At 40.3% G+C, this 27,991-nt stretch overlaps 1 long non-coding RNA gene across 9 annotated transcripts in view; it reads right to left on the bottom strand.

Annotated features, from left to right (window-relative positions):
• Positions 1–261: 261 nt before the first annotated feature.
• The window catches only part of LOC105374493 (uncharacterized), a 98,514-nt gene continuing 70,784 nt past the window's right edge, over positions 262–27,991 (bottom strand). For 2 of the 9 annotated variants that reach the window (XR_001741370.2, XR_001741369.2), the window contains exons 2-3: positions 15,328–15,951; positions 12,034–13,476 (exon numbers count right to left, since the gene is read on the bottom strand). This is a non-coding gene — a long non-coding RNA (uncharacterized LOC105374493). Of the gene's footprint in view, positions 2,548–12,033; positions 13,477–15,327; positions 26,845–27,991 lie in introns of those variants that run through there. The other 7 variants (XR_007058044.1, XR_007058048.1, XR_001741371.2 and 4 more) reach the window with 6 other exon arrangements.

The raw sequence follows: 27,991 nt of genomic DNA on the forward strand, positions 1-27,991 counted from the left end.
CCTATGAGTGAGAATATACGGTGTTTGGTTTTTTTGTTCTTGCGATAGTTTACTGAGAATGATGGTTTCCAATTTCATCTATGTCCCTACAAAGGACATGAACTCATCATTTTTTATGGGTCCTCTGCCTTTTTGCGTGAGACAGCTGCCCCCTGCCAGCAAGGGCAAAGGGCTAGTGTGACAGCCTTTTGTATCTGCACTTGCGGCTCCTGAGCTCTTGTCTGGCATCCAGAAAAATGAGGTTGCGTGAACAAATTGAAAGATGGTAAATGAGGGGGATTTTATTGCCAATGAAAGTGGCTGTCAGTGGGAAGGGGAGCTCAAAAATGCATGGGGTGGATAGGTAATCTTTCCCTGAAGTCCAGCCATATCCAGCCAGATTGTTCTCCAAAGTTATATGGTCTAGCTGTCCCTCTGAAGTCAAGCTGCTTCTCTCTGATGTCCAGCCATAGTCTCATCTGCTGGCTGAGTCTGGGGTTTTTATAGGCACAGGATAAGGTGGAGGAGAGCCATGGGTGGATTAGGAAAAGACAACATTCAAATAGGAAAACAGAGACATAGGTTCTCACTTTGGGCCATGGTTTCAGGCTTTCCAGCTTCAGCGTGGGGTTTTGCTGGGGACCTGCCTTTTTCTGCCTAGAATTTCTCTGCCCCCTGTCCCTATCAATTGTACACAATAAGTTAATTGCATAAGCCCTTGGCAAAAAGAAAGTAAAATCAAAACCATTTTTCTTTATCAGTGGGATGAATGAGAAAGAGCACCAGATTTGAGTCAGAGATCAAAGGGTGAATCCCATCTCCACCAGCATTTAGCTGTGGGAACTTTGGTAGCCACTTATCTCTGTGTGTTTCTGTTTTACTTGAGTAAATTCACCTGTCTTCCACATCAGATCATCTTTAATGACCTGGACTAAGTTAATGATTCTTAATTATTCAGGGGATAACCCAGTTACTACTTTATAATAGAGTAATCATAAGAGTTTCTCAGATTAATGGAACGCTATGATTCTATTTGGGAATTATTCTCAAGGCTTCAGTAAAGAGGGAAGTGAAAAGACAAATGTGCCTTTCAATAAATATTGCTATCATTACAGTAGAAAAGAGATATCTTGGAATATTGGCATAGGAAAAACTCATTTCAGCATTTTCTACTCAGATGCCATGCATAGGAGTAGACAAGAAATAATGTTTTAAAAAATAGCCAAATCTTATCCATCCCACAAGCTTTATATAGTGGTGTAAAATAAATGTTGAACTGAATGATGTCCATAACTCTACTCTTTAGCTATATTTTCAAAAAAATTATTTTTGAAGACATGACCATATGTTTGTTGAGAGTTAATAGTCAACCTCACTAATCACAGCACAAGAAACATTGCTACCTCTAAGACATCCACCCATGGAAAGAGATCCTAAATCTTCTCAAATCTTGTTCCCACTCCACTTTCCTTTAATAAGTAGCCTCTCCTCTAACCTAGGAAATGTATATGAATCCTTTGCATTCCTTTAAGGCAATTCACTAGCACTTGTTATGCTGTTGTTGCCAGCCTTATTATAGTTAATTTCCTATCAAAATAATTTGCTACCTACCTTTTAAGTTGTGAGAGCTAAATAATGTGTTCTAAGTGCTTTGGGATTGCTTTGGGATTCTGAGATGAAAGTCCCATAAAAATGTCATGTTATTATGTCCTGACCCAATAAAAATTGTCAGGAAAAAAAAATCATGCCTTTAGAGGGCACTTTGTGCCTGTGGGACTTCATAATAAATGCAAAGCTACTCCTACTCCACATCTTTTGAGGAATTCTTTAGGCCAGCCTCATATAGTGGAAAAGTTGTGCATTTCACTAATCTTTGGAATCACTTTACATCTTGCAGCCTCAGTTTCCATTTTCTTAACTGTTAAAAAAAAACGATACAACTGACCTCAGAGGGCCATTATAAAGGTGAAATAATAGTTAGCAAGTACAGAGACTGTGGCTTATAGAGCAGATTAGAATATGTAACCTCTTCACTTAAAAGCAGATCCATTAGGCAAAAATCTGAACATGTTACATATTAATCATTATTCTTTTTCTCTACATACAAGAGGACTGACTATTTATATGACAAATGTATGTGTCATAAAGTTGTTTAATATAGTTGTTGCCTTGGCATCCATTTTTAGGCCTGGTATCCACTGTTGGAAACCTGTTTATATTCCTTCACCTTTGGACTAGTTAAAACTTTTCTTGCCCCTGTTGTTGTTTGCAATATGGCCTGCTTATTCCTATCTCACTAGCCTAAAATCCCACAGCTACTGTCCATGATAAAACTCAATGATCAATGTCAGAATCATGTAGATAAGTACTCCTGTTCACAAGTGTTTTCTTTAAATTGACCAATCCACAATCCCTACAGGAAAGCCTGATGGATAATACCCATGGACTTTAATGAAGGCCTCATCCCATATGTCATCTCTGGCTCCTGCTCTCCACCCATTGGTTGTATGCCATGCTGTCTTCAGACTTCCAGTCAGCCCTCCTGAGCACACCTCTTCTCTCGTGGACCTGTGAGTGATCAAATGTTTCTTTTATTTTCTGTTTTGTTGTGTTGCCTGCTCTGTTTTGCACCTAATCAATATACCTCAACGTAACTTTCCCCCATCAAGACTCTCCTAGAAAGCGATTATCATAGCTTAAGGCTATTTCCAGAGAGATATTTCAGGACCAAATCGAGGAAAATCACAATAATACATTAAACATTCACTATTCTTATACATAATGGCTGCCCTCGGAAGCTTCTAAGCTATCCAAGAAGGAAGCTTATCCAGCTACCGTTGTGTGCCCTGCAATCAAAGTACATTGCCAACTGTTTTAGTTGATGGTTCCACACAGCAAATAAAAACAGAAACAAGCACACAAAACCTGCCCTTGCTGAGCTTACAGTTGAGTGAGGCGGACAGTCAATACTCAGGGTAAATAAGTCAATCTATCACATGTTAACTCGTGATCAGTTCTACAGGAGAAACTAAAGCCAAGAAAAAAAAATAAAAAGTGCTCAGTGTGGGTTACGGGCTGCAATTTTAGCTGCAGCAGCATGAAGTGCCTCATCCAGGAAAATGGCATTTATGTAAGTGTGTAACGGAACTGAGGCCTTTAATCATATGTCACTTTTTCAGTGAAGGGTTTTGACAGGCTGCAAGTGCCTTAAGACGCTTCCAAGAGTGTCAATCCAAGCAGAGAGCCTGACATGGGTGACATGTGTTCTTTTCACAATGCTAGGTCACATTTACTCATTTTCACCAAAAGCAGTCACAGTTCTTTCAGAATGGGTTCTCTGTGCCCATCCGGTAACCAGTACCACTGAGAGCTAATAGTGCATAAAGATCTTTGAAGAAAGTATTGATTTCCTGGCCAAATAATCTGTAACTGAAACATTTAAAACCACATGATCAGGGTGATAAGGTTGTAAACATAGGGCTCTGGGTTCATCATTTATATCATCGTGATCTTAAGATTTTCAAACACACCTGCAGATATATATAGATAGATAGATAGATATAAATATATATAGATAGATATCTGCTGCCATCTATCTATGATATATAAATAGATATTGAGATACAGATAGATATGGAGATATAGATATTTATATATAAATATCTACATACAGGTATACACGTATACACACACACACACACACACACACACACACATAATTTGCTGAGATTGAAAGCCAGAGGTTTCTGAGGACTGGTCTAATATCGACAATCTGCTCTGGTGAAATAAGCTCAAGGAACACTGCCAAAGAGCCACAGAAATAAGCACTCAGAGGCAAAGCATTAGTTCTCTCCAGTTTTTCTGTGGAAAAATTTGTGTGGCTCAGACCTCTCACCCCATATTGGACTCAACCCTGGAGGATAAAATACAAGACATGCTAGATTTTAGCCTTCCTCATTCCTTCAACAGAGCCCAGGTCTGCAGTTTGGTCAGCTGTCTCACCTAGGCCTGGAGGAATTGTGAGAAAGAACCGGTTATAAGAAATTTCCCCATAGGATTGGGTGGCCTATGCAAGCTCGAGATTCTGTACAGCATGATTGTGGTTTCTGCTACCTCTGAAGATTGCCAGAATGTTTGCAGGGATTGAAAACAGGAAATCCAATGATCCACATAAATGATATTTTCCTAATGGTAATATTCCGCACATTTAAAGGACACAACCCTAGAATTGTTCAAGGAAATGGGACCCCTCCTGGTCTTCCTTTCATGCCAATAACTCTACTATGTGAGTCCTATGTCATTTTTTTACACCCACTCAACTTGAGACATGTCCATTTATGCAACTTGGATCCTGAGACTGTGGCCTTTACTGCTTGTCCCATACTTGCAGGAACATTCCATATACAACCAGTCACTCCCATGGACCGCAAACCAGAGTTGTTCTGAAGATGTGAAAATAAATTTTACATTTTTTACAATAGCATATATCTCGGTTTTGGAATTCTGTGTTCTGCTCTACATATGGAGGGTTATAGCAGACATTGTGCAGGGTACTATGGGGAATGGTTAAAGTGGAAAGCTGTGCACCCTGCCTGTTGGAAGTTGACAATCAAGGATGCAACTAAATTCAAAATATCTAATTCTCTGATGGGAATATAAGCCATTGGATAATTTCTGAATGTCAATTTGTAAAAATGATCAAGAAAATTTAAAACTATTTTTATTCTTTAATCTACCCTTAGAAATTTGTCCTATACAAATTATCAGATAAATGGATATTCATTGCACTTTTATTCACATGATAGGAAAAAATGGGAAAAAGAAAAATATCCAATTATAGGAAATAAACTGTGGTATATCAATAAAATGAATGACTTACCCAGTCATTAAAAGTTGTATTTATTAAGAATATACAGGCTGGGTGCGGTGGCTCACACCTGTAATCCCAGCACTTTGGGAGGCTGAGGCGGGCAGATCACGAGGTCAGGAGATCAAGACCATCCTGGCTAATGCGGTAAAACCCCGTCTCTACTAAAAATACAAAAAATTAGCCAGGTGTGGCGGTGGGCACCTGTGGTCCCAGCTACTCAGGAGGCTGAGGCAGGAGAATGGCATTAACCCAGGAGGCGGAGCTTGCAGTGAGCCAAGATTGTGCCACTGTACTCCAGCCTGGGTGTCAGAGTGAGAGTCTGTCTCAAAAAAAAAAAAAAAAAAAAAGAATATACAACACCAAAAATTACTTACGTTATAAATAATGTGATGAAGTAAACATTCAGATATAACATTATACTTATATAGTAAGATTTCAAATTTGTGTCCTTAACAAAAAATGTATGTATGCACGTGTGTGTGTGTGTACTCATATTGAGAAGATGGCAGCAGATATCTCTGAATGGAGCTATCAGTGACATTTATTTGATTCTTGAGTAGAAGTGTTCTTTTTCACTCATTACAAGCAACATATTATGTAATCTTATGTCCTGTTATTTCTCAGTGAAATAAATCAGAGGTCAAATCCAGTCAGACTTCTGGTTTTATCTTTTTCTAAATAAAGGTTTTTTTGGAACAAAGCCATGCTCTTTTATTTGTATATTATGTGTAAATATTTTTGCACAGTATTGACACAGTATAGTAATAGGTCCCAAGTCTAAAATATTTACTCTATTACGCTTCGCAAAACAAACAAACAAACACACAAAAAAATTGCTAATCTCTGGTATAAATGTAAGTCAAATATAAATTAAATCTGATTCTTAAGAGGAGTTATTTTGCTCTCATAGTAGCCATTTGGCAATGTCTAGAATATTCTGGGTTGTAACAGCTGGGGGTGATGGTGCTACTGACATCTGATGGAAGGAGGCCAGGGATGCTGCTAACATGCTGTAATGCACAGCACAGCTCTCTACAACAAAGAATCGCCCAGTTCAAAATCTCAGTAGTGCTGAGTCTGAGAAACTCTGCTGCAGCTTACTAGTTAAACCCTTCTAATATTCAAGTCAGATGACCAGAGTTAGCCAGCCCAACTCTTTTAACATTCAATGAACTTTGCATCTTTGTTGGTGACAGCTCAACTTAGTTCTTGGTTCTCTCTGTGCCTTTTTAACAGATAATTTACTCATGTCTATTGTCACTATATAAAATGAGTTCTTCTATCTGGCTTGACAGAATCAAGTTGTCTAGGAATAGACAATCACTAGAAATAAAATGGCCCTACTGCAACACATATGCTTTCTTCCATACATGTGGAAAACATAGAGGAAAGAATTATGTAAAAGCTTAAAGATTCCTATATTTTAGGCCCCACCCTGTTCTGAGGGAAGTTGAAATATATATATTTCATGTATATATTTCATATACATTTTGTATATATATTTTGTGTATGTATTTCATATACATTTCATATATAGTATATATTTGTATATTCTATATATTTCATATACATATATTTCATATATACATTTCATATATATATTTCTCATACATTTAATATATTTAATATGTATTTCATGTACATTTAATATATATTTTTAATATGTTTAATATATATTTCTTACATATTTTAATATATATATTTCAGCTTTCTTCAGAACAAGATATATATATATTTTTTTGAAGGAACAAAGTGAGACTGAAGCAACCACTGGAATATCATTTCAAGTTATTTTTTAAAAGGCAATATTTTATCTGTTAAACTCAAATATCTTAATTTATTCTATACAGTTTGGTTAATGTGTTTCTTGGACTCTGTGTGCAAAGCACAGGAGAAAGTGATTATAAATACAGTTTGAGGCCAGCTATTTCTATTTCTCAGAAAAGACTCTTATTTGGGCTAATATGCATGCAACTGTCTCAGCTTCTATCACATTGAATTGCCCAATCTTTCAGGCAACTGATAGAATGCATATTTCTGAAACAACTAAAACTGAAGTGAGAACCAGTCCATTCACTCATACCCTCTACTCTGTGAGTTGAGCAGATCCTGAGACACAAAGGTTTGAGGACAGCCCCACAGCCACCAAGCTCTTAGCTCTGATCCCAAGGTAAGCCCAATCATAGAATGAACAATTCCCTATGCTCTGAAATGGGGTTTATGAAATCCAGATTCATAGCTAGTGTGAGAAGGAATGAGCTAATATATGTGTATGTTGTTTAGTTCAGTATGTGGTAAGTTGTAAGTGCTATAGTATTATTAACCATATTTTATTATTTTCCCACTTACTGATCAAAACAATTATATAAGAATAGCTATTATTTGACCTGTATTTAAAATGTGGATGCTGATACTAAGAACTTAAGTAGCTTGCCAAAGTCCATACAACTAGTAAGGGATCAGGTCAACACACCACAATTTTACTCCAAAAGGCAGGAAAGGCAAACACAATGACAGCTTGGGAATAGCTTCAGTGGCTGATTTAGGTGACAGTCTGTGATAGACCACTGATATAGTTTGCATATTTGTCTCCTTCAAATCTCACGTTGAAATGTAATCCCCAGAGTTGGAGGTTGGGCCTAGTGGGAGGTGTTAGGGTCATGGGAGCAGATTCCTCATGAATGGCTTGGTGCCAGTCCTTGAGGTAATGAGTAAGTTCTTGCTCTATTAGTCTCTGAGAGATTTGATTGTTAAAAAAGAGCGTAGCACCTCCTCCCCTCTTACTCTCTTCTTCCCTCTCCATGTGATATGTGCTCACCAGCTGCGCTTTGCCTTCCATCATGAATGGAAGCTTCCTGAAGCCCTCTACAGAAGCAGAGGCTGACATAATTCTTCTTGTACAGCTGGCAGAGCTGCGAGCCAAATAAACCTCTTTTTTAAAAATAAGTTACCCAGCCTCAGAAATGCCTTTATAGCAATGTAAATGGACTAAGACAACTGCTGGAAAAATATCAGGTACTCCCTTAATTCTTGTGTTTGACAGCTCAGCCCTTTCCCTATCCACTTCCCTCCTGCCCCAGGTGCCCCTGTCAATGACAAAATGGCAGCTTGGGCCCATGGTGGTTCCAAACTAGCCGGGCAGATTTTATGTTCTTAAAGTCTGCTTTGGGTTGAAATTATTTCACTCTACATTTCAAAGGCTTCTAAGGCCCCTATTTTCAGGTTACAAAAACAGTCCCAAAAACCAACTTGAGCCAAATCACAAGTAATTGAGCAAATTATGTTTCCTAATCACCCATCTTCCCTTGCGCCTCAGCCGACAAACCCCTTCTCTTGACACGCTCCGGAGGCCCCAGCTTTCCAGCCTCTTCTCCAGTGTCATTCTAATTGGCACTAATCACTTCACTAAAATTCAGGCATCAAAAAGGTTCCCCCAATCAGTTTATCCTTTGACCCTGGGCTCTGGCTTCTCCATCAAGTTCAGGCATTACTAATCCACCTAGTGGTTTGTCCAGACAGCTTATTTTGTCTGCACCTTTTCTTCTTCTACTAAGATTTAAAATGACGACCAGCTGCATTCACAAAGTGTCCCTTCCCCCACTCTGACCCATAAACCCGTTGTGCTGTTGCCGGAGGGCGGGATGGGGTACATGTGTAACTCTACACGGGCTTTTCGGGTCGTGTTTGGGAGAAGACCACAGCGTGTAGGGGCATTCCTTGCAGTTCCCTCCCCCACACCAGCCCTTTCTTCCTCACACCTGCAAGGTGAAAAGCCAGGCTCCCTCGCTGAGCCTTCAATTTCATCACCTTTGTTTCTGTCCTAGGGTGAAAGATCAGGCAGGTAGCAAGACTGAAGTCACAGCCAGTGCTGTCAGAAAGTGGAAAACAGCGGGCCTCAGAGGAGATGAGGCTTAAGAGGATTCCTTTTGTGTGCTGCCTGCCCAACTTAATCCACCCAAAGCCACATCATAAACAAAACATTCTCTTTCTCAGGGGAGAAAAAAATGCACTTGACATCTAAAAGATAGTTAGGACTCAGCCATTCTCCCCCTTAGCGTAGTCAGCCTGCTCACGTATCCGGGAGCATCCTTGTCTTCTCCCTTTAAACTCAGAGCAGATCCAAGTCTTTGCCAGCAGCACCAGGGTCATTTCATTTGTGCACACTATCACTATAATCCCCAACATCCTCCTTGAAAAACGATGCATAATAAAAAGGACGAAAAGATTTTGTCCTCAGAAAATTAACCCCTTGTGGTAAATAATGGTATGACTTCCGACAGCCCCCTCCCCACCCACCCCCGGCCCCGCCATATATCACAGTTCAAAGTGTTACTGTCATCTCAAGGTTTGGAAAGACTCTAATAGGATCAGGGTCTGAGTTAGAGTCCACGTGGCAGCACCAGGAGCTTAGCCGACATAACCATGGAAGCAATATTTCTGGTGGTCCTCAAAGAAGGGAAAACATTTAGCCAGATGAAATAGGTAAATGTGTGGAGAAAGGTGTTCAGGGATGGGGGGCGGTCATGAGTTACAACGGGGCAATTCCTAGAGATTATTCCTGCATGTCCTTTCCCATCTTGTCCTTCCAATCCCAGACTGAGAGAATATTGGAAAGGCAGAAGGTACTTGGACTTTAGGCTCGTAAGGACTGGATTCTCAACTTTACTCTTCATTTGTATCAATTACCAAGCTGTCCTGACAAGATTTACCTCGTCTGTAAAATGGGTATTAACAATCTCTAAACAGTGGCATTGAGGACTGCATGAGACTGTATGAGGTTTTATTTCATTTATTTCTCAAAACGACTTTAAAGGTAAGTACTTTTATAATCATCCCTGTATTACACATGTTAATAAGTGAATTATAAACATGATGAACAATGTAGCTAGCACGTTGTGGATGCAGACCTTTGCAGATGGACTACATCTCTCAAATTCCTGCTGGCCCTTCTTCCTACCTCCCAGCCTCTGAAGATTAATCAGATAAAGGGGGAGAAACAGCCTTAGCAGCACCTGGGAATCAGCATGTGTTTTGTAATGTTATGTCTCCTCCTCTTTCACATTATTATTATTATTATTATTTTGAAACAGCGTGTCACTCTGTTGCCTAGACGGGAGTGCAGTGGCGTGATCTTGGCTCACTGCAACTTCCGTCTCCCAGGTTCAAGCAATTCTTGTGCCTCAGCCACCTGAGTAGCTAGGGCTCCAGGCGTGCACCACCATGCCCAGCTAATTTCTGTATTTTTAGTAGAGACGGGGTTTTACCATGTTAGCCAGGCTGGTCTCAAACTGCTGACCTCAAGCGGTCTGCCCACCTCAGCCTGCCAAAATGTTGGGATTACAGGTGTGAGCCACTGCGCCCGGACACTCTTTCACATTATTTTTTGACGTCCCTTTCAACCCTTACTCCTATCAAGAGTCTTTCCTACATAAGCTATTATAAACAGCTATACTCTGAACTGGGATTCAATTGATCCCTGTAGAACAATATTTGTTCTGAACTCATTGTTGCCTTTCCCCCTCAAAATAGTTCTGCTTTAATAAATGTGATATGGTTTGGCTGTGTCCCCACCCAAATCTCATCTTGAACTGTAGCTCCCATAATTCCCATGTGTCATGGGAGGGACCCAGTAGGAGGTAATTGAATCATTGGGGCAAGTCTTTCCCATGCTGTCCTCACAACAGTAAATAAGTCTCAGGATATCTGATGGTTTTATAAAGGGGAATTCCCCTACACAAGTTCTCTCTTGCCTGCCACCATGTAAGACATGACTTTGTTCCTCCTTCACCTTCATTCATGATTGTGAGGCCTTCCCAGCCATGTGGAACTGTGAGTCAATTAAACCTCTTTCCTTTATAAATTGCCCAGTTTCAAGAATGTCTTTATTAGCAGTGTGAGAATGGACCAATACGAATGGGAATGGAGGAGTAGAAACATTTATCCAGAGAGCTTGGTTAAATATCTAATCTGAATTTTGATTAGGTCTATCAAATTTTTCTTGAGTGTGAACAAAATTCTAGGCATGACTCCTAAAGACAAGGAATTTACAATCCAATAGGGAGAATGAAGTATACTTAGGAAAGCACGTACACATGCACATACACTCACACAGACACACACAGACAGATATGCACAGTAAAAAAAAAAGATGGTGATCAATGATAAGTAATATGAAAAAAAGCAGAAAGAGCAAACGATAGAGAAGTTCAGACAGGGAGACAAATAGGGAGGTTTTTACTATTAACCAGGCAAAAGGTGACGTGAAAGAAGTGATGATGGAGTGAGGTGGAGTGATCTGAGAAATAATTAGAACTTGGATGCCTGGGGAAAGGAATAGAGAAAGGAAGAATGAGAGAGAGGAGTCATGGATGCCACCAGGTTCTGGTTTGGGTACTGAGATAAGGACACAATTGGAGCCACAGCTTGAGGCCAAGGTCCTAGATACAGAGAGAAGATGATGGATTCTGTTTTTGACATCTTAAGCGTGACATGAGTCTGGGACCTCATGTCGTGGATATCTGGGAGCAATTAGACATCTTAGCCTCGAGATTAGAAGGGCAGTTTGGGGTGAAGATGGGACTATGGGACCCCTCAATGAACAAAGAGAGGCTACTGGCTAAAGCTTTAGAAGTCTCACTTTTTCGCAGTCTCTAGGAAGTAACTGTCTATTTTTGTGTACAGATTGGCTCCAAGGAGTGGTTAAGTGAGGGATTGTTAAATGAAATGCTTTGCAAAATGAAAATGCCATAGGAAAGCTGGTGGATCATCCCAATGATAACAGAAGCGGGTATGCACCCCCCATGCTGGAGAGCCACTGTGCCAAGACTGTCTTTCTTTCTGCTTAAATTCGAATCCTCTGAGGCCTCCCATCATCTTGCCTCACATTCTATGAAAGGCTTTTAGCAAATATCAAAGAAATTGCCAAGTTCAGCTATGAGAATCTCATTGAATTGATAAATAGATTCTTGCTTTTTCTTCCAACTGTTCTTTCCCATAAAATACTTAGTTTTATAAGCTAATAAAGATCAAATGTTAATAATAGTGAATCCTAATATCTGTGCTTACCACGTTCTAGGGCTTTTGACATGAATTATCAGATCTAGCCCTTACAAAAACTAAATGAGGTTGAAGTATCAGCTATTGCCACTATAATGCTGTGGAACAAATCACCTCCCAGAACTCGGTGGCTTAAAAGCAGAAGCATTTATTGTCCCAGATCTGTAGGTTGACTAGGCTGTCTCTGTTGCCCTAGGCTGAGCTTCTCTGGGCTGTTCTGCTTCTCACTGTAGGTCCGGGGTCGGCTTGGGCATTTCTTCTGCACATATCTTCAAACTGCATTCCAGGCTGTAGGGATAATACGAACAGGTATCCAGAGAGAATGCTTCTCATGGTAATGGCAGAAGGAAAGAGGTAAAGAGACACTGTGATTCTTCTTAAGGTACAGGCTTAGAACTGGCACCATCTCATGTCTACCCACATGTTCTTTGCCAAAGTGAGCAACACACCCAAGCTTCTGCCCATGTGGCACAAAAGGAAAGAGTAAAGAATTGCAGTTAATCATTTAATCTACCACAACTGGGTATCTTTATTATCCTCTTTTTACAGATACAGAGTTCTGTATATATAGAGGTTAAGCTTAATGCTTTATCCTTCTGTTTATTCATTTTTCTTTTATTAAAAAAACTAATGTTCTGCATAATATTTTCAAACCTGCCAAACCAGAAATTCATGACACCATCTCTGTTTTAAAGAATCCCACAGTGTATGCTGTGGGAGAGACAAACTTGTCGACACATCATTGTGGCACAGAGCAGGGGAATCCACAACAGAAGTCTCTATGAGATGCCGGAGGAGCCCAGGGAAATGGATGACTCACTCTGCCTGGAAGAGTTGGGAAGCCTCCGTGAATGGAAGAGATGATGTCAACACTGGATCTTTAAGGAAGAAGTGGTCATTGTGCAAAAGAAGGCAGATAAATAAGTTATAAGTAGAAGGCAGAATGTGTCCCATGAGAAGGTGTCTAGACAAATGAGCATCCATGAAAGTATATTAAACAGAGGAATGGCATTCTTGCTGCAATGTAGAGCATGAATTAGAAGAAAGGCAATGGAAGAGAGAGGCAGACATCAAGCAAAACCATAATGAAGTGCAGTCTGAATGAAGACACCGACTTTAGCACAGAGGCCTGCACAAGCATGGGAAGCTGCACACATGTATACACACACGTGTATACACACACGTGTATACACACACACGGGGAAAAAGTCTCAGCATAGATATTTTTAGAAGAGAAAAAAGAACATGGAAGCAATTTCAGCCACTTTCTTTAATTGCTCACCTGATGGTCCTGTGGGATAGGATTTCAGCTAGGGTGTCACACACAGTGCAATTCATCCTGAGACGTGTGACCTTTGCCATTTCTTTTCATTTCTCAGGTGTGTGCTTTTCACTCTGCCACGGAAGCCTCCCTTATCATTGACTCTGAATTCAGACTGGAACCTCCATGACTGTGTCATGGGGTGGTCCAGCTGACTTAGGTGGCTGAAGTGTCTCCTTGAGGTGCCCCATCAGGACTCTGGGGCTTAGAACTGGTGAGTCACAGACTTCAGGTTTCAGGAGTTGCAGCACTGGACAGGAGTGAAATTAACAATATTTAATTTTCTTGCCTTGTCTGAGTGTGCTGTATGTACCAAGTGCAGTGCGAAGCATTTAATGTGCAAATGTGCATCATCCCAGACAATTCTGACAGCCTTAGAAAATAGGAAAATAGTTTCTTTTCAAAAAAAAAAAAAAAAGGTTGGCTGGCTGCGGTGTCTCATGCCTCTAATCCCAGCACTTTGGGAGGCCGAGGCAGGTGGATCATCTGAGGTCGGGAGTTCGAGACCAGCCTGACCAACACAGAGAAACCCCATCTCTACTAAAATAATAATAATAATAATAATAATAATAATAATAATAATAATAATAATAATACAAAATTAGATGGGCATGGTGGCACATGCCTATAATCCCAGCTACTCGGCGGGGCTGAGGCAGGAGAATTGCTTGAACTCAGGAGGCCAAGGTTGCGGTGAGCCGAGATTGCGCCATTGCACTCAAGCCTGGGCAACAAGAGTGAAACTCCGTCTCAAAAAAAAAAAAAAAAGTTTCAAATGTCAATTTTTTTTAAAGGAATAGCCTATGTTTATTAAGTACTCAATTGTGACTGATTCAAATGCCCAAAAAACTTTCATTAGACCAGACCCATTCCTATGGGCATGCTTTCCTTGAGGCTGAGTGTTTTGCTAAGCAGACAGGAAAGTTTAATAGAAAGTGGGGCTTGCAGACAACCAGACTTTGAAACTCGGCTCCATCACATACTTCTATGAAGTCCTGGGCACATCCCTGAACTTCTCTTAATTTCAGTTTCCTGATCTCTGAAGTAGAGATAGTTAGGATTACCTTTCAAGTTATTGTCACTAAATGAAATGACTTAGGAAAAATGTTATCTGATTCAAGCAGCACAACTGGATTTGAGGATTTGGGTACATTGAGATTTATTCATGGAGATCTCTTTGGAAAACCTTGGGAAGAGGAAGAGCAGCAGGGTAGGGAAGGGGATGGAGAGATGCAAGAATGTGGGGTCGGGTTAAGTCTAGCTCACTAGGGGATTCAGTCCTGTCTTGAAATAAGGGAGTGAGACTTTTGTGCCCCTGCCCCAACCAGTCAAAACTATTGTATGGCAGGGGAGAAGGAACCTTAGCTTAACATCCTCTGGGCAATGTGGCTTCAATCACTGGACAATCTCCTGGAGAAAACTGCAGATGTGAGCCATTAGCAGAAGCACCTGCAGGACTTGGAGCACGATAACCAAACTAGTTAAGAGGACCTTGGTGTATCTGTAGGGCACCAACAGCAACTGTTGCAGTTCACCCCTGGCACCATTCAGATCTATGTGGTCTCATGTTAATTCATTGCTTCATGCTGCAGTGACTGGAGGAATTTAGTTAGTCACCATACTGGATGACCTCTTTCCCCACAGTAAAGTGTAGAGGAGAAAAAGAGTATAGCATAGCAGAATGGTGTGATACTGTGATTGTGAAGATCAATGCCTCTGGATTCAGACACCTAGGCTCAAACCTTGATTTTCCTTCTCACCTGCTCTGTGACCTTGTACAACCTCCTAAACTGACATTCTACCTCCTCATTCATGCAGGGAAGACCATAGTAAGTTGAATAGTGACTCCCCAAAATAAGTGCCACCTGGAATCTCAGAATGTCACCTTATTTTGAATAAGGATCTTTTTAGATGTAATTAATATAAAGATATCCAGATAAGATCATTCTGTATTGGCGTGACCATAAATCTCATGACTATCCTTTAAGTCACAGAAAAGGAGAAGACACAGAGACACATGGAGGGAAAGGCCACGTTAACACAGGCAAAGACTGAGGTGCAGTCACAAACCAAGAAATGCCAACAATTGCTAGGCAGTCACCAGAGGGAAGGAGAGACTCATACAACGGATCCTTCCTCGAGACTCCAGAAGGAACTGACACACACTGCTGACATCTTGATTTTGAACTTCCGGCTTCCACAACTGTGAAAAAATAAATTTCTGTTGTTGTAAGCCACCCAGTTTGGGGCAATTGATTAAGACACCCCTAGGAAACTAATATCATAACCATGTAAGACTGTTATGTGGATCAAATTAATTAATGCAAGTAAAGGGCCTAGGACACAAGCTGGTACATAGTAGGAATTTTTAAAGTGTCTGTACTTATTGTAATTGTTAGAATTATATAAACACCAATGCACACAGGGGCTGTTGAATATTATTTGTTGTTGACTGCGTCTGTTGTTGTACAAGCACAGTGAAAGTCTCAATTTGGGAACCCATACACAATTCCAGTCAGGTTAAGAGTGGCTCACATAGAATTGCAGGAACAAAAATCTTACTAAGTTTCACAGTACGTTATGCATAGTCCTTTGCTCTTAGCCACTGCTCAATAAGTGTGGAACCTAAAAATATAATTCAAAATGTTACCTGTTTGTTTAAATTCAACTGTTTGAACACAGATGCAAGGTTCTTGAGGGTCTAGGATGTCTCTGTGGATATTTCCTGAAATCAAGTAAATTTAAATAGCTCACCTTACCCTTCCCAAAAATGAAAAGTCTGCATTTAGCGCATGCATGGGCAATGCCAAAGAAAAATACATGTTAATAAGCCAATATTTCTATAGGTCCGTATTCTACATTTTGCACAATGGATTCCTCTGGAGATGAGGGCCCAAAGCAGGAAAGCTTTTCTGAAAAAGTTCAAGGGAAGAAAAGGTTTCTCTAGGACACAACTCCTGCCTTTTTTAAATCTGCCAAACAGCAGTGGCCTTACCCTCTTTCCAAAGTGCTAGAGATTATTTAGGTAAACTCAGTTATTGGCAGTAATGAGGGTTTCAATTCAAAACCCTCTTTTGGGTAAAGTGATTCAGAGTGAGAAGTGTTATGTTTGATTTTTTTCTCACTGTGAAATCCAGATTTTGCAAGGCTATAATGTTCCATTTTCAGGAAGGCTGGCAGGGCCAACGTTTAAGTCTGGTTCAACCATGCTTAATGCTATATCCTGTCATTTTAAAGCCCCCTCCCATTTCTTTCTTTACTCACCTTTCTTCCCTTACACTTTGCCATTTAAGATAAACTGAAAGATAATTATGACCCTGGTTTTTAGAGTCTCTTAATTCTGTTGTTTTAGACACATCCGAAGGCACTGAAGCATTTTTATTTTATTTTAACTTGTGCTTACCAAACCTGTATCATGCACTCCATTGGGCAGTGGGCTCCTTTGGGCTCTTTCCAGAAAATTAAAACCATAAATTAAATATAAATGGTCAAAGCCACAGAACAAGCAAGGCCTTCTTAGTGTCCACAGAGAGGAGTTCTATTACCACCACTCGCTTTGGAGAAGAGGGAGGTTACCTGTAATTCTTGTTCTCTTGAAGGTGTATATTTTATAATAGGTCTCCATTCACCACCCTGCCTTCCCCAAGGAGTTCTTAGCTGCTTGATTTTCTTGGCTAGAGAAGAACTGGCAGTTAGGGGTTAGCAAATTCTTAGGACCCCTGGGGTAGATACATTGCAGTTCTAGCAAGAGTTCATACTCTCTTAAACTGTGTTTCTGGATTTTAATTTTGCCTCAAGCTGTATGTTAAGAGAAGCTCTCTCTGATGAAAATAACTCTGCACTTAGGGAGAAATGCTTCCCTCAAGATACCATGTCTTTATTAACAGAAATTTTCCCCTCACCTTGTTTATTTACATTTATTTATTTATTTATTTATTTATTTATTTATTTATTTTGAGACAGAGTCTTGCTCTCTCTCCCAGGTTAGAATGCAGTGGCACAATCTTTGCTCACTAAAACCTCCACCTCCTGGGTTCAAGCAATTCTCCTCCCTCTGCCTCCCTGGTAGCTGGGATTACAGGCATGCATCATCATGCCCAGCTAATTTTTGTAATTTTAGTAGAGATGAGGTTTTGCCATGTTGGCCAGGCTAGTCTCGAACTCCTGACCTCAGGTGATCTGCCTGCTTCAGCCTCCCAAAGTGCTAGGATTACAGGCATGAGCCAGCGCGCCCAGCCATCCTATCCTTTTAAAATAATAGCAATAAGACATGAAGGAAACTCAAACATTTTTTAAGACCCCAGGATTCCCCAAACTTCTATTCCCTTGAGCCCAAACCATGCAGATTAATATACATGGGGACACATTTCAGTCTCTCTCCCTTACCAAAATTAACAACCTTTTGAAGCAAAAGTGTCAACTCATTTTGGCTCACCTGGCATCTCCTATTGATGGATAGTGGCTGCCTGCTTAGGAGAGTGGAGGCCAGATGCAGACTCAGCAGGAAGCAGTGTGGTGATTGATTAATGATGTCTGCTGCAGTGGAGGACAAGGGAGTGGCAGCATTTGTGCTGTGTATTTGCCATTCCTGGTAAGGACTGTGTGTTATTCATCTCTGTGTCCCTGTGCCTAGCATGGTGCCTGGCACAGAGCGGGTGCTCCATAAATATTTGTTGAACTGAATTGAACTAAACTTTCCAACCAACTCCCTCTTTATAAACACCGCAATGGTTTTCTCTGAGTCAGAAGGTATGGTGGTAGTTCATCTCTTGGTAGAAAGCAGTGATAGTAAGAAATTCTCCAAGGGTTGAATTGTTATGGGGACAGTAGGTTCAATTACCTCAGAAACTGTTCAGTTACTCTGCCATGGACCCAATGTCTATTAAACGAGCCTTTCATTACCATCAGCTCTTTGCTGTTGTCCTACTACCTCCCCGCAAATAACTAAATCATGTCTCCATGTGCCTAGCTGCTGGCTGACGTCCTGCTGTGACACATCTCTCAGTGCCCTAACACAGATCTGCCTCACAACATTAACCACTGACAACCATGTATCTTTTGCTTATATGATCTATGCATTGGGTTATACCCATACACTCACCGCCCTACCTCTGAGCATGGGAGAGCCTTTGGATCTTGTGCTTCAGACAAACTTCTGCTTTGCGGTAGCACCCAGTTTCTGAGTCTACTCAACACCACTTTGTTCTCCTACCTTTTCCCACCCTCATTCCCCTTCATCATCATGCATCAGTGACTTATTATTTTATGTATTCAATATCCCTGTAATGACCAAAGTTTCATGATATTCTATGCCACAGTGAGGTGAGTTGGATATTTGGAGTTGAGTAGTCCTGGTTTAAGCCTTATCTTTACTATTTAGTATCTCTCTGCTCCAACACAAGTTGTTAACCTATTGTGTGGCTTGCTTTTTATGTGTATTTTTGAATTAAAACATAAATGCAGATAACAATAGCACCTACTTTAAAGTATTGCTGGGAGAATTAATGAATGCATTATGCCTTGAATCTAGTAGAAATTGAATGAATAATAGCAATTATTAGTATCTTGTCCCAGGGTCTACACTGCATTAGAATTAAGAAAATAGATATGCCCTAAAGAGTCATACAAAAAACATAGGATCAGACTCCAGCTCATAATAACAAAACCATCGGAGGCTCTTTGAGATCATATTTATGAAACAGCAATGATTCAGCAAAGGTAATCAAATCCTCCAGCAGAAAAATCAATTGAAAACTACTCACTAATGGAGGGGAAAAGAGTAACCAAAGGGAGATTTGAAGAAGATTGCATACTCTTAATTTCTATTACTCTTTATCATTTTCATTATCTTACTTGCTCCTCACCACCATGTTCCCATTTTTACATATGAGGGTATTAAAGCTGGAAGGTGTTAATCAGCTTGCCCATGGCCAGACCCCCAATAAGTTGTGCACCTCAACCCAGGTCTTCTGCCCAGCTCTCGTTCCTCACCAGGTTGTCTCTTTACAGAAATATCTGAAAGGAATGAACAGGACCCTCACCAAGTAGGCTAATAAAAGCTTGGAAGGATGGAGCTTGTTGTTCTCACTCTGGAGACCTTCTCTAGTGCTGAGTACAGGACTCTGAGGATTTCCGTGCCATAACTTCTTCCCTTTCTGTACAGAGATCCTGGCTAGTGGGCCTTTTCCAGAGGCCCTCGACAACTGAGGGGGCCATGGTGTCATTGCGTCATCAGGCCACAGCCAGGCTCAGAGTGTCTGCCTCTGCAGAAACACTCCTGAACAAGCATCAGGAGAATGCCTTTCCCCAGTCTAGTGTAGAGTGTGATGGAAGAAAAATAGCAAATATGCCCATGATGAGGATGCAAACTTCAGCTGGGCCTGTTAGAACAACACCAACCTTTTTCTAAGGTACCCAAAGTCCAAAGCTTGTGTTTTCAGTTGCTCCTCAGAAATGTGTTTGAATAGAAATCGTTCTGAGGGCAGGCCTTCCCATGAAGGAGAGATTACTTGCCAGCTCTTTTTCATGAGCCGATTATCCTGTCCTTCCTTAAAGAGTTTCCACACCAAGGATGTGACATTTGCCTTGCCTCTCATGGTTTCAAATCAAAGATTGAAGAACAGAGATTCACTGGTTGTCATGTAACAAAACCAGGCTCAAATTAGCTGCACGTCACTGGGGAGTGATGAGAGTAATGGAAAAATATTAAAAAATATCTCATGGAAAATAAGAGCAGAGAATGTGGCTGGGTACCATAAGTCACTGAGGTCAATAAAATGACAATTTTTAGGGTTGAGAACCACGTTCTTTCCATCTACCTCAGCTTCATAGTTTTGTGTTAGTGGTTTTTTGGTTGTGTTTTGTTTTATCTGTGCTTCTTGATCCATTCACCTTTTCTTGTGTGTAGCTTTCACATAACTATGAAGCAGGTGACCCTAAACATCCCACCAGTTAAGGCATTCAACAGAGATTGGATAGAGCAACTGTAGCCAACTAATACTTATGGAAGGAATAAACTGATTGATCCAGTGTTACTTCTACTGAACCAAGTGTTTTTATCTGTAGGGAATGAGAGTCAAAGAGTGAAAACATTGTTGCAGGAATCACTCTGGGGAATGAGAGGCAGAGGTTTTCAAAGCAGGGTCACAGACTAGTAGACATCCCAAGATGTCTATCTGGAGCATCATATAACTTTAGAACAGAAAGAGGCTTCTCAAGAGCATTATCAGGAGCACTGATAATATCCCAAAAACTTACAGTGTCCTTGCAAAGTAAGTGTCTCTTCCCCAGAGGGAAGAGGGTAAGAAGAGTAAGACTTGGAGAGGTTAATTTACTCAAGATTATGCCTTCTGCAGCAGAAGTCATCAGTAGCAAAACCCATCTTTTCTTCTGCCAGACGTCCTCACAGAGAAATCTGTTACCTAAATGGATTTACCACTGCCCAGGTTCTAGCCCTCAACCTGCAGGCCCAGAAACCTGATATACCAACACAGAGAACACATCCATGTCTTTCAGTAGACACATACAAGTTCACAGGGATCCATGAAACACAAGATGCCTATCTACTCATCTACAAAGAGATGCTCTACCACAATTTATACCACAAACTCGCAATCTCCAAGTGGCCTAAATTGCATGTTACCTTCTTACAAGAAGACTGACTTGGGAAGAGATTTCCAAGTACATGGAATTAGAATAGGGGTATTTCCTATATAACTCAGATGTTTCATCTTACATAACAGTAGTACCCTGATGTGACCATCTGTATAATCAAAATGGACCTACTCCTAGATCTTGGTACTTGGTATCTCAAGACCCAGACATCCTCTATTCAGTGCAGCTCTTGGATGCGCATTGCCAATGTGTGTCTCTATGACTCTCCTTCTCCTTAGCTTCTGCTCAGCAAGCCCATTTCTGATTGGCATATCTTTTCTTGTAGGTTAACCCATTTAGTTACTGCTTGCTCCTGCCTGGAAACAAATTTATCTTTTCAAAATAATTTTTCCTATGTCTTCTCTCATCCAGCCTGTTTTGCGATTAAACTCTCTAAGGGAAACCTAGAGTTTGGGGTCTGCTTCATCCTTGCCCCTGTACCTACCACCCATAACCAGATCTGCATATTTAAAATGCAACTGGACATTAAAGCCATTACAGAAGCTTTCCAAATGGGCAAATATTTGCCTCAATTATTCTATTTACAATTCCAAAAATATTTCTTCTGTTGAAGTCTGTGTACAAGAAGTGGCTCCAAAACCATTTTTAAGGGAGTTTTGACATCAATGAAACGTTATGCTGGCAGGGAGAGTGAAGTGCTTGATTAATAAAGAGTCTCAGTGTTTTCAAACACATATTCCAAGCAGCCTCATTTGAAGAAAACCACAAACGGAGAATGCTTTGCTGCTCACAGTCACAAGGGGGTTGTGTATTTCATTCCCGCTTACACAGTCCGCTTACTTTGGAGCTTGGGTAGGAAAGAAACATGGCCAGCCAGCAGAAATAAGGCTACATTCAGTGACCCTACCCTTCCACCCATTGGCCTGATGGGAGAACTTTTTTACCCCTTAATGCTACTGTTTTCTTAGTTTTTAACCTTTTAATACTTAATAATTCTCTAAAAGACCATCCTGAGAGGAAAGAAGGGGACACCTTACGACTTCATTGTGTTAGCAATTGAGGATTCTGAGATTCCTAATTTCAGAATTTCCAGTCAGTGGTGTTGGCATGTCATACAGAAACGTAATTGAGCATGTTCATGTTAATTACTTTGAAGTGCTTTCCTCTTTTCCAGTGCTTTACAAAAACACAGCAACTTAAATTGGGTCATTATTTCATGTGTCTAAGATCCTACTCGGCTTCTTAAGGGAGCCATGGAAATGCAGTCAGAAGAATTAATTTAAAATGGTTCCAATATTTCCCCATAAAGGAAAAATGTAAATAAAAAAATATATTGGCAATGTAATTACTAGAAATGGGACTTATAATAATGATGATAATAAACAAAACACCATCTTTAAATTCCCCTTTCAATTCACTAATATATTTTGGGTGCCAGCAATGTCTAGACATCTCCAGTTTTATTTACCTTGCATCTTGTTTAATTCTCTCAACAATCCCACAAAATATGGAATCATCATGCCTCTGAGGCACAGAGAGGTTAATGACTTATCTGAAGTCACGCAGCTAATTCACGGGAGAACAGATCTGTGGATAAAAATCTTCTAAATCCTTGACCAAAGCTGCTTCTTTTAGTGCCCCATGTTTATCAGGAGCAAGAAATAACTTGTTAAATTATTATTATTATTATGATTTTGCAGGAAAATGAGATGAATGGGTACACAAATCTGGCTACCATACTTGTTTTCTCCATAAGTTTTAATCTACTTCTACTACATATTCATGGGTCCTTTGTCCAGTCAAATCCTTAACTAATTAATTTACAAAACTTCCCTGGTGCTTTGTGTTTCATCTATTCTATTCATTCCTTCATCATACACACACACAAACACATACACACACACACACAAACACACATGTACATACAGTCGGCCCTCCATATTTTTTGGTCCCACATCAATAGATTAAACCAACTGAGGATCAAAAATGTTTGGATAAAAACATTCTACCAAGTTCCAAAAAGTAAAAGTTGAATTTGCCATGCACCAAGACCTATGTTGAATCCATGCTAATGAAGTGATGTGTAGACATTGCATTAGTTATTATAAGTAATCTATACAGAAGATTTAAAGTATATAAGAAGGTGTGTGTAGTTTATATGCACATACTCCATTTAACATAAGAGATTGACCATTCACAGATTTTGGTATCTCCAGGGGGTCCTGGAACCAATCCTCCATGGATACCAAGGAACGACTATGTGTGTGTGTATGTGTGTGTGTGTGTGTATATATGTGTGTATGTGCGTGTGTGTATAGGTATATATATGTGTATATGTGTGTGTGTGTGTGTATATATATATGTACTTGGAATCAGCAACCTATGTGTATATACATAGTTGCTTGGAATCAGCAAGCTCCATGTATACAAACAAACACACACATACACGCTTATAATTCGGGGGCAGTCTACTCATCTATTTGGGAGACCGACCTCTCCCACTATTAATTCTCCTAGTTAGTCCTCCCCACTTCAGTGTTGCACATGTGCACCAGGCCTGGCCAGTGTGCATATATCCATTTCCCTGGCCACAGCGTAATAACCTGACCAATGCAGAGCCAAAATCTTCCCTGAGAATTTTGTGCAATGATCTGGAAAGGACGTGGTTGTAACCTCTGAGATTACACAGAAATGATGGAACGAGAAAGCCTGAAACTGCCAGAGCCATTTTTAATACAACAAAAAGATCGCCTGCCTGAGATTGAAAACAACACAATGGAAAGTGGACACAACAGATAAAGAGAAAAGAGTTTTCCCACAGATAGCTTTAACCCTTAAATAGCTTTGAGTCACATGAGCTAGTTCATTTTTTTGAGTAAGTTGGCAGATTTGTGTTTTTTAAAACCCAAAGAATCATGAATAAATGCATCTTTCTTCTGTGTTTACATCTCTAACCCACAGAACCACAGGACATTGAAATATGCCTCAAGAATTCTCCCATAATCTTGGTTCTTGACCACCTGTAGCTCCACTCATCACAACCAGACTCAGTTTTACTTTCCTGGCTTCTGATCTCCTCAGCTGCATTTAAGGATGATATTCAGTCTCCAATTTCTTGGCTCTATTCTTAGTGTTTCTTTCTGACTATGACTTTGACTTTATCTTTAGTTTTGTTTATTTCAAGCAACCTATCTGGTTTAGTGCTTCAACCCCAAATTCTGGAGCCTCCTACTCAACCCTATCACCCTCCTCTACCTGCCTTTTTATTTGTGATCTTCCCAATCTCATTAAATATATACAAATTTGACACTCCCTTAATTCTGTACATTTTCAAATATCTTGTCAAATATTCTTTCTCCTTTATGTCTAAATAACTCTATGCAAAAAATTTTGTACACCTTGAAGAAATGTATGCTTTCCCTGAAAAAAATATAAATGAACAAAACTTACACATGAAAATTTAGAAAGCCTAAAGTGCTCAATAACTATGGAATTTGTTGAAAGGCAAAAATAAATTACTTCCCCAAAGACTCTAATTTCACATAATTTTATGACTACACTGTTTCAAGTTAAAGTTATAGATTATTTATACATCATTTAAACTGGTTCAGAGAATACAAAGAGGAACACCTCTAAATTCCAGAAGATATATAAGTATAACCATGATGTAGAAACCTAACAAAGTGAGCCTATAATAAAAGAATTAAAAAGTTAAACTACAGATACTGTCACTTATGAGTTGTGATCCCAACATCCTCTATAAAATTCTAGCATATTTAGCACACAGTATGGTAAAATAATACACTACTATCAGGTATATATTTAACAATAGTTCATGACCCAGAAAACAAACTTTTAGTAAACAAGGAATAGAATAAATTTTCCTTAATATAATTTACTCTAACCAAATATTTCCCTTAAAATCAAACAGGAGATAAATCATAATACCTTCATTAGTATGTGCATTTGCTCTTAATGTTCTTCACTAGGAGAGCTTAAGTGATTTTCACAGGGTTACTCAATAGGCAGGTGAAAGAGTTGATATCCCACAGAGCAAGCTCTGGCTCTGAAGCCTGAAATTTCTGTATTATTCTTAGCCCTCAGAGGTGGATATCCTCAGTTTTTTCTTAGTCAGCATCCTTCCCATTTTCTGGCAAGATTTTTTTGGGAAATTATCTCTCACCTGTCAGATAGAATCTTGATGGCCTAACAATCAAGCCATCCCGCCCTCTGGCCAGGGAGTAGGCATACAACCAATAAATGGGACTTCCTTTCCCTTCCCTTCTCTTGTTTCTTTCTTTCTTTCTTTCTGTCTCTCTCTCTCTCTCTTTTTCTTCCCCTATTCTGTGGAACTTCAATCTTTAGACTAAGTAGACTAAATGATTCAATCTGATTTATCCTGAAGGGTAAAGTCTTAGTAGACTATCCTTTAATTCCTAGAGTTTTCTCATTTCTTTCCTTTTTGGAGGCCTCATTTTAATGTCCTTTCAATCTTTGAGTGACTTCCAAATCCTTCCTTAAAAATCATTTAAAAAAGACATTTTGTTAAAGTGAGCCAGTGTATGTTTCTATCACTTGTAAATAACCCTAGCCAGTATGTCTGTACCTCAGTCAAGTAAGCTAGAACTCTGAATTCAAGTACCTTTTCTTAGCCAACACTATCCATCAGTTCATGCAGTCTGTGGATTTTACTTACACAATATGTTTGGTCTTCTTTTCTTTCCTTTCCCTTTCTGCTACTGCCCTAGTTTAAGTTATCATTACCTCCTGCCTGAACATTGGCCTCCTACCCTTTTCTCTTGCCTGTAGTCTCTTTCTCTCTTATCCATTCCACCAATTGTCAGATTATTGGTGCACTAAGAATATTCTTGATGATGTGACTACTCTGTCCCGAATTTGTATTTCAAACACAATTAAATCTGAAATCCAAAAGACAATCTGACAATCCTGAGCCTATACCTCTAACCTTAACCCTCTCTTCTTTTATTTTTTTCACTGTGCTCTAGTCAAATGAATAATCTGTTGTTTTCTTCAAGACACTATGCATTCTTGTCTTTGAGCCTAACCAAAATGCTTTTTGCCATATCTTACAATCCTCATGCAGCCAAATATTACTTATATTTAGAGGTCACACATAATTACCATTTCCCCCTGAAACCTACCCCAAAAGCTGAATATCTCATCTGCTTCATCTGCATTCTCTAAAGCTTCATCTCCACCTATCTTGTCAGCTTTAGATAGCACTTCCTACTCCTATTTTATGTAAACAAGAACATATTTCCTTTTCCCACAGCAAGACCATGACATGTTTTTCAGGACAACTGGAATAAAAAAAAACTGGGTAATTACACAGGAATGGAAGGCTATATCCACACCAAGATATTCCCTAAACTCAGCCCATTGAACCCAGGAAGATAGATGGGGTGTGGTCACTGAGACTATTTCTGAGAAGGCCCTGTATGTATGAAGACTTCTTTGAGCTTGTAACTCCATTTGTGAATTGTGTGGTCACAGCCTGGTGACCAATGTGGTCAGCTGAAAGTACACCCGTGGCCACACACATGTATGATGGACTGCCAAGGATGAGTGACAGCAGCACCATTGTTGAAAGAAGCTGAATAAAAAATGTACGTCATTCTTGAAACTTACACTTCTAAGCCTTCTTTGTTTGCTTTGTGGATGACATACCTCAAGCCTCCAAAAAGCCCTAATACCAAAGTGCATAGAGCAGAGTAGTCTAGACCTAGGGAGAACTCAGGTTTTAAAATCAGACAAACTCCAATTTAACTTCTAGTAGACCATGTATTAGTTATGCAGATTATCAATCTTTTCCTTTAACTATAAAGTGGGTATCAAAATACTGACCAAGAAGTTCATTTTAAAAATCAAACAAGATTATGCATATCTAATGTCTACCACAGTGTTGAGCAATTTAATGTGCTTATGCTAATAATTGTCTTAACACCGTAGATATTTTTATCTAAACTTAAAAAAAAATACTATGAAATGAAGATAACTTCAAAAATAGTTACTTTTTTTTTTTTTTTAAGAAATTGATCAGGGAGCCAAGATGGCCGAATAGGAACAGCTGCCGTCTACAGCTCCCAGCGTGAGCGACGCAGAAGACGGGTGATTTCTGCATTTCCATCTGAGGCACTGGGTTCATCTCACTAGGGAGTGCCAGACAGTGGGCGCAGGTCAGTGGGTGCATGCACAGTGCGCGAGCTGAAGCAGGGCAAGGCATTGCCTCACTCGGGAAGTGCAAGGGGTCAGGGAGCTCCCTTTCCTAGTCAAAGAAAGGGGTGACAGACGGCACCTGGAAAATTGGGTCACTCCCACCCGAATACTGCGCTTTTCCAACGGGCTGAAAAAACGGCGCACCACGAGATTATATCCTGCACCTGGCTTGGAGGGTCCTACGCCCACGGAGTCTTGCTGATTGCTAGCACAGCAGTCTGAGATCAAACTGCAGGGCGGCAGCGAGGCTGGGAGAGGGGCGCCCGCCATTGCCCAGGCTTGCTTGGGTAAACAAAGCAGCCAGGAAGCTCGAACTGGGTGGAGCCCACCACAGCTCAAGGAGGCCTGCGTGCCTCTGTAGGCTCCACCTCTGGGGGCAGGGCACAGACAAACAAAAAGACAGCAGTAACCTGCAGACTTAAATGTCCCTGTCTGACAGCTTTGAAGAGAGCAGTGGTTCTCCCAGCACGCAGCTGGAGATCTGAGAACGGGCAGACTGCCTCCTCAAGTGGGTCCCTGTCCCCTGACCCCCGAGCAGCCTAACTGGGAGGCACCCCCCAGCAGGGGCAGACTGACACCTCACACGGCTGGGTACTCCAACAGACCTGCAGCTGAGGGTCCTGTCTGTTAGAAGGAAAACTAACAAACAGAAAGGACATCCACACCAAAAACCCATCTGTACATCACCATCATCAAAGACCAAAAGTAGATAAAACCACAAAGATGGGGAAAAAACAGAGCAGAAAAACTGGAAACTCTAAAAAGCAGAGCACCTCTCCTCCTCCAAAGGAACGCAGTTCCTCACCAGCAACGGAACAAAGCTGGACAGAGAATGACTTTGACGAGCTGAGAGAAGAAGGCTTCAGATGATCAAATGACTCTGAGCTACGGGAGGACATTGAAACCAAAGGCAA

The sequence above is a fragment of the Homo sapiens genome, chromosome 4 (genome assembly GCF_000001405.40).
Source record: "Homo sapiens chromosome 4, GRCh38.p14 Primary Assembly".
NCBI lineage: Eukaryota > Metazoa > Chordata > Mammalia > Primates > Hominidae > Homo > Homo sapiens.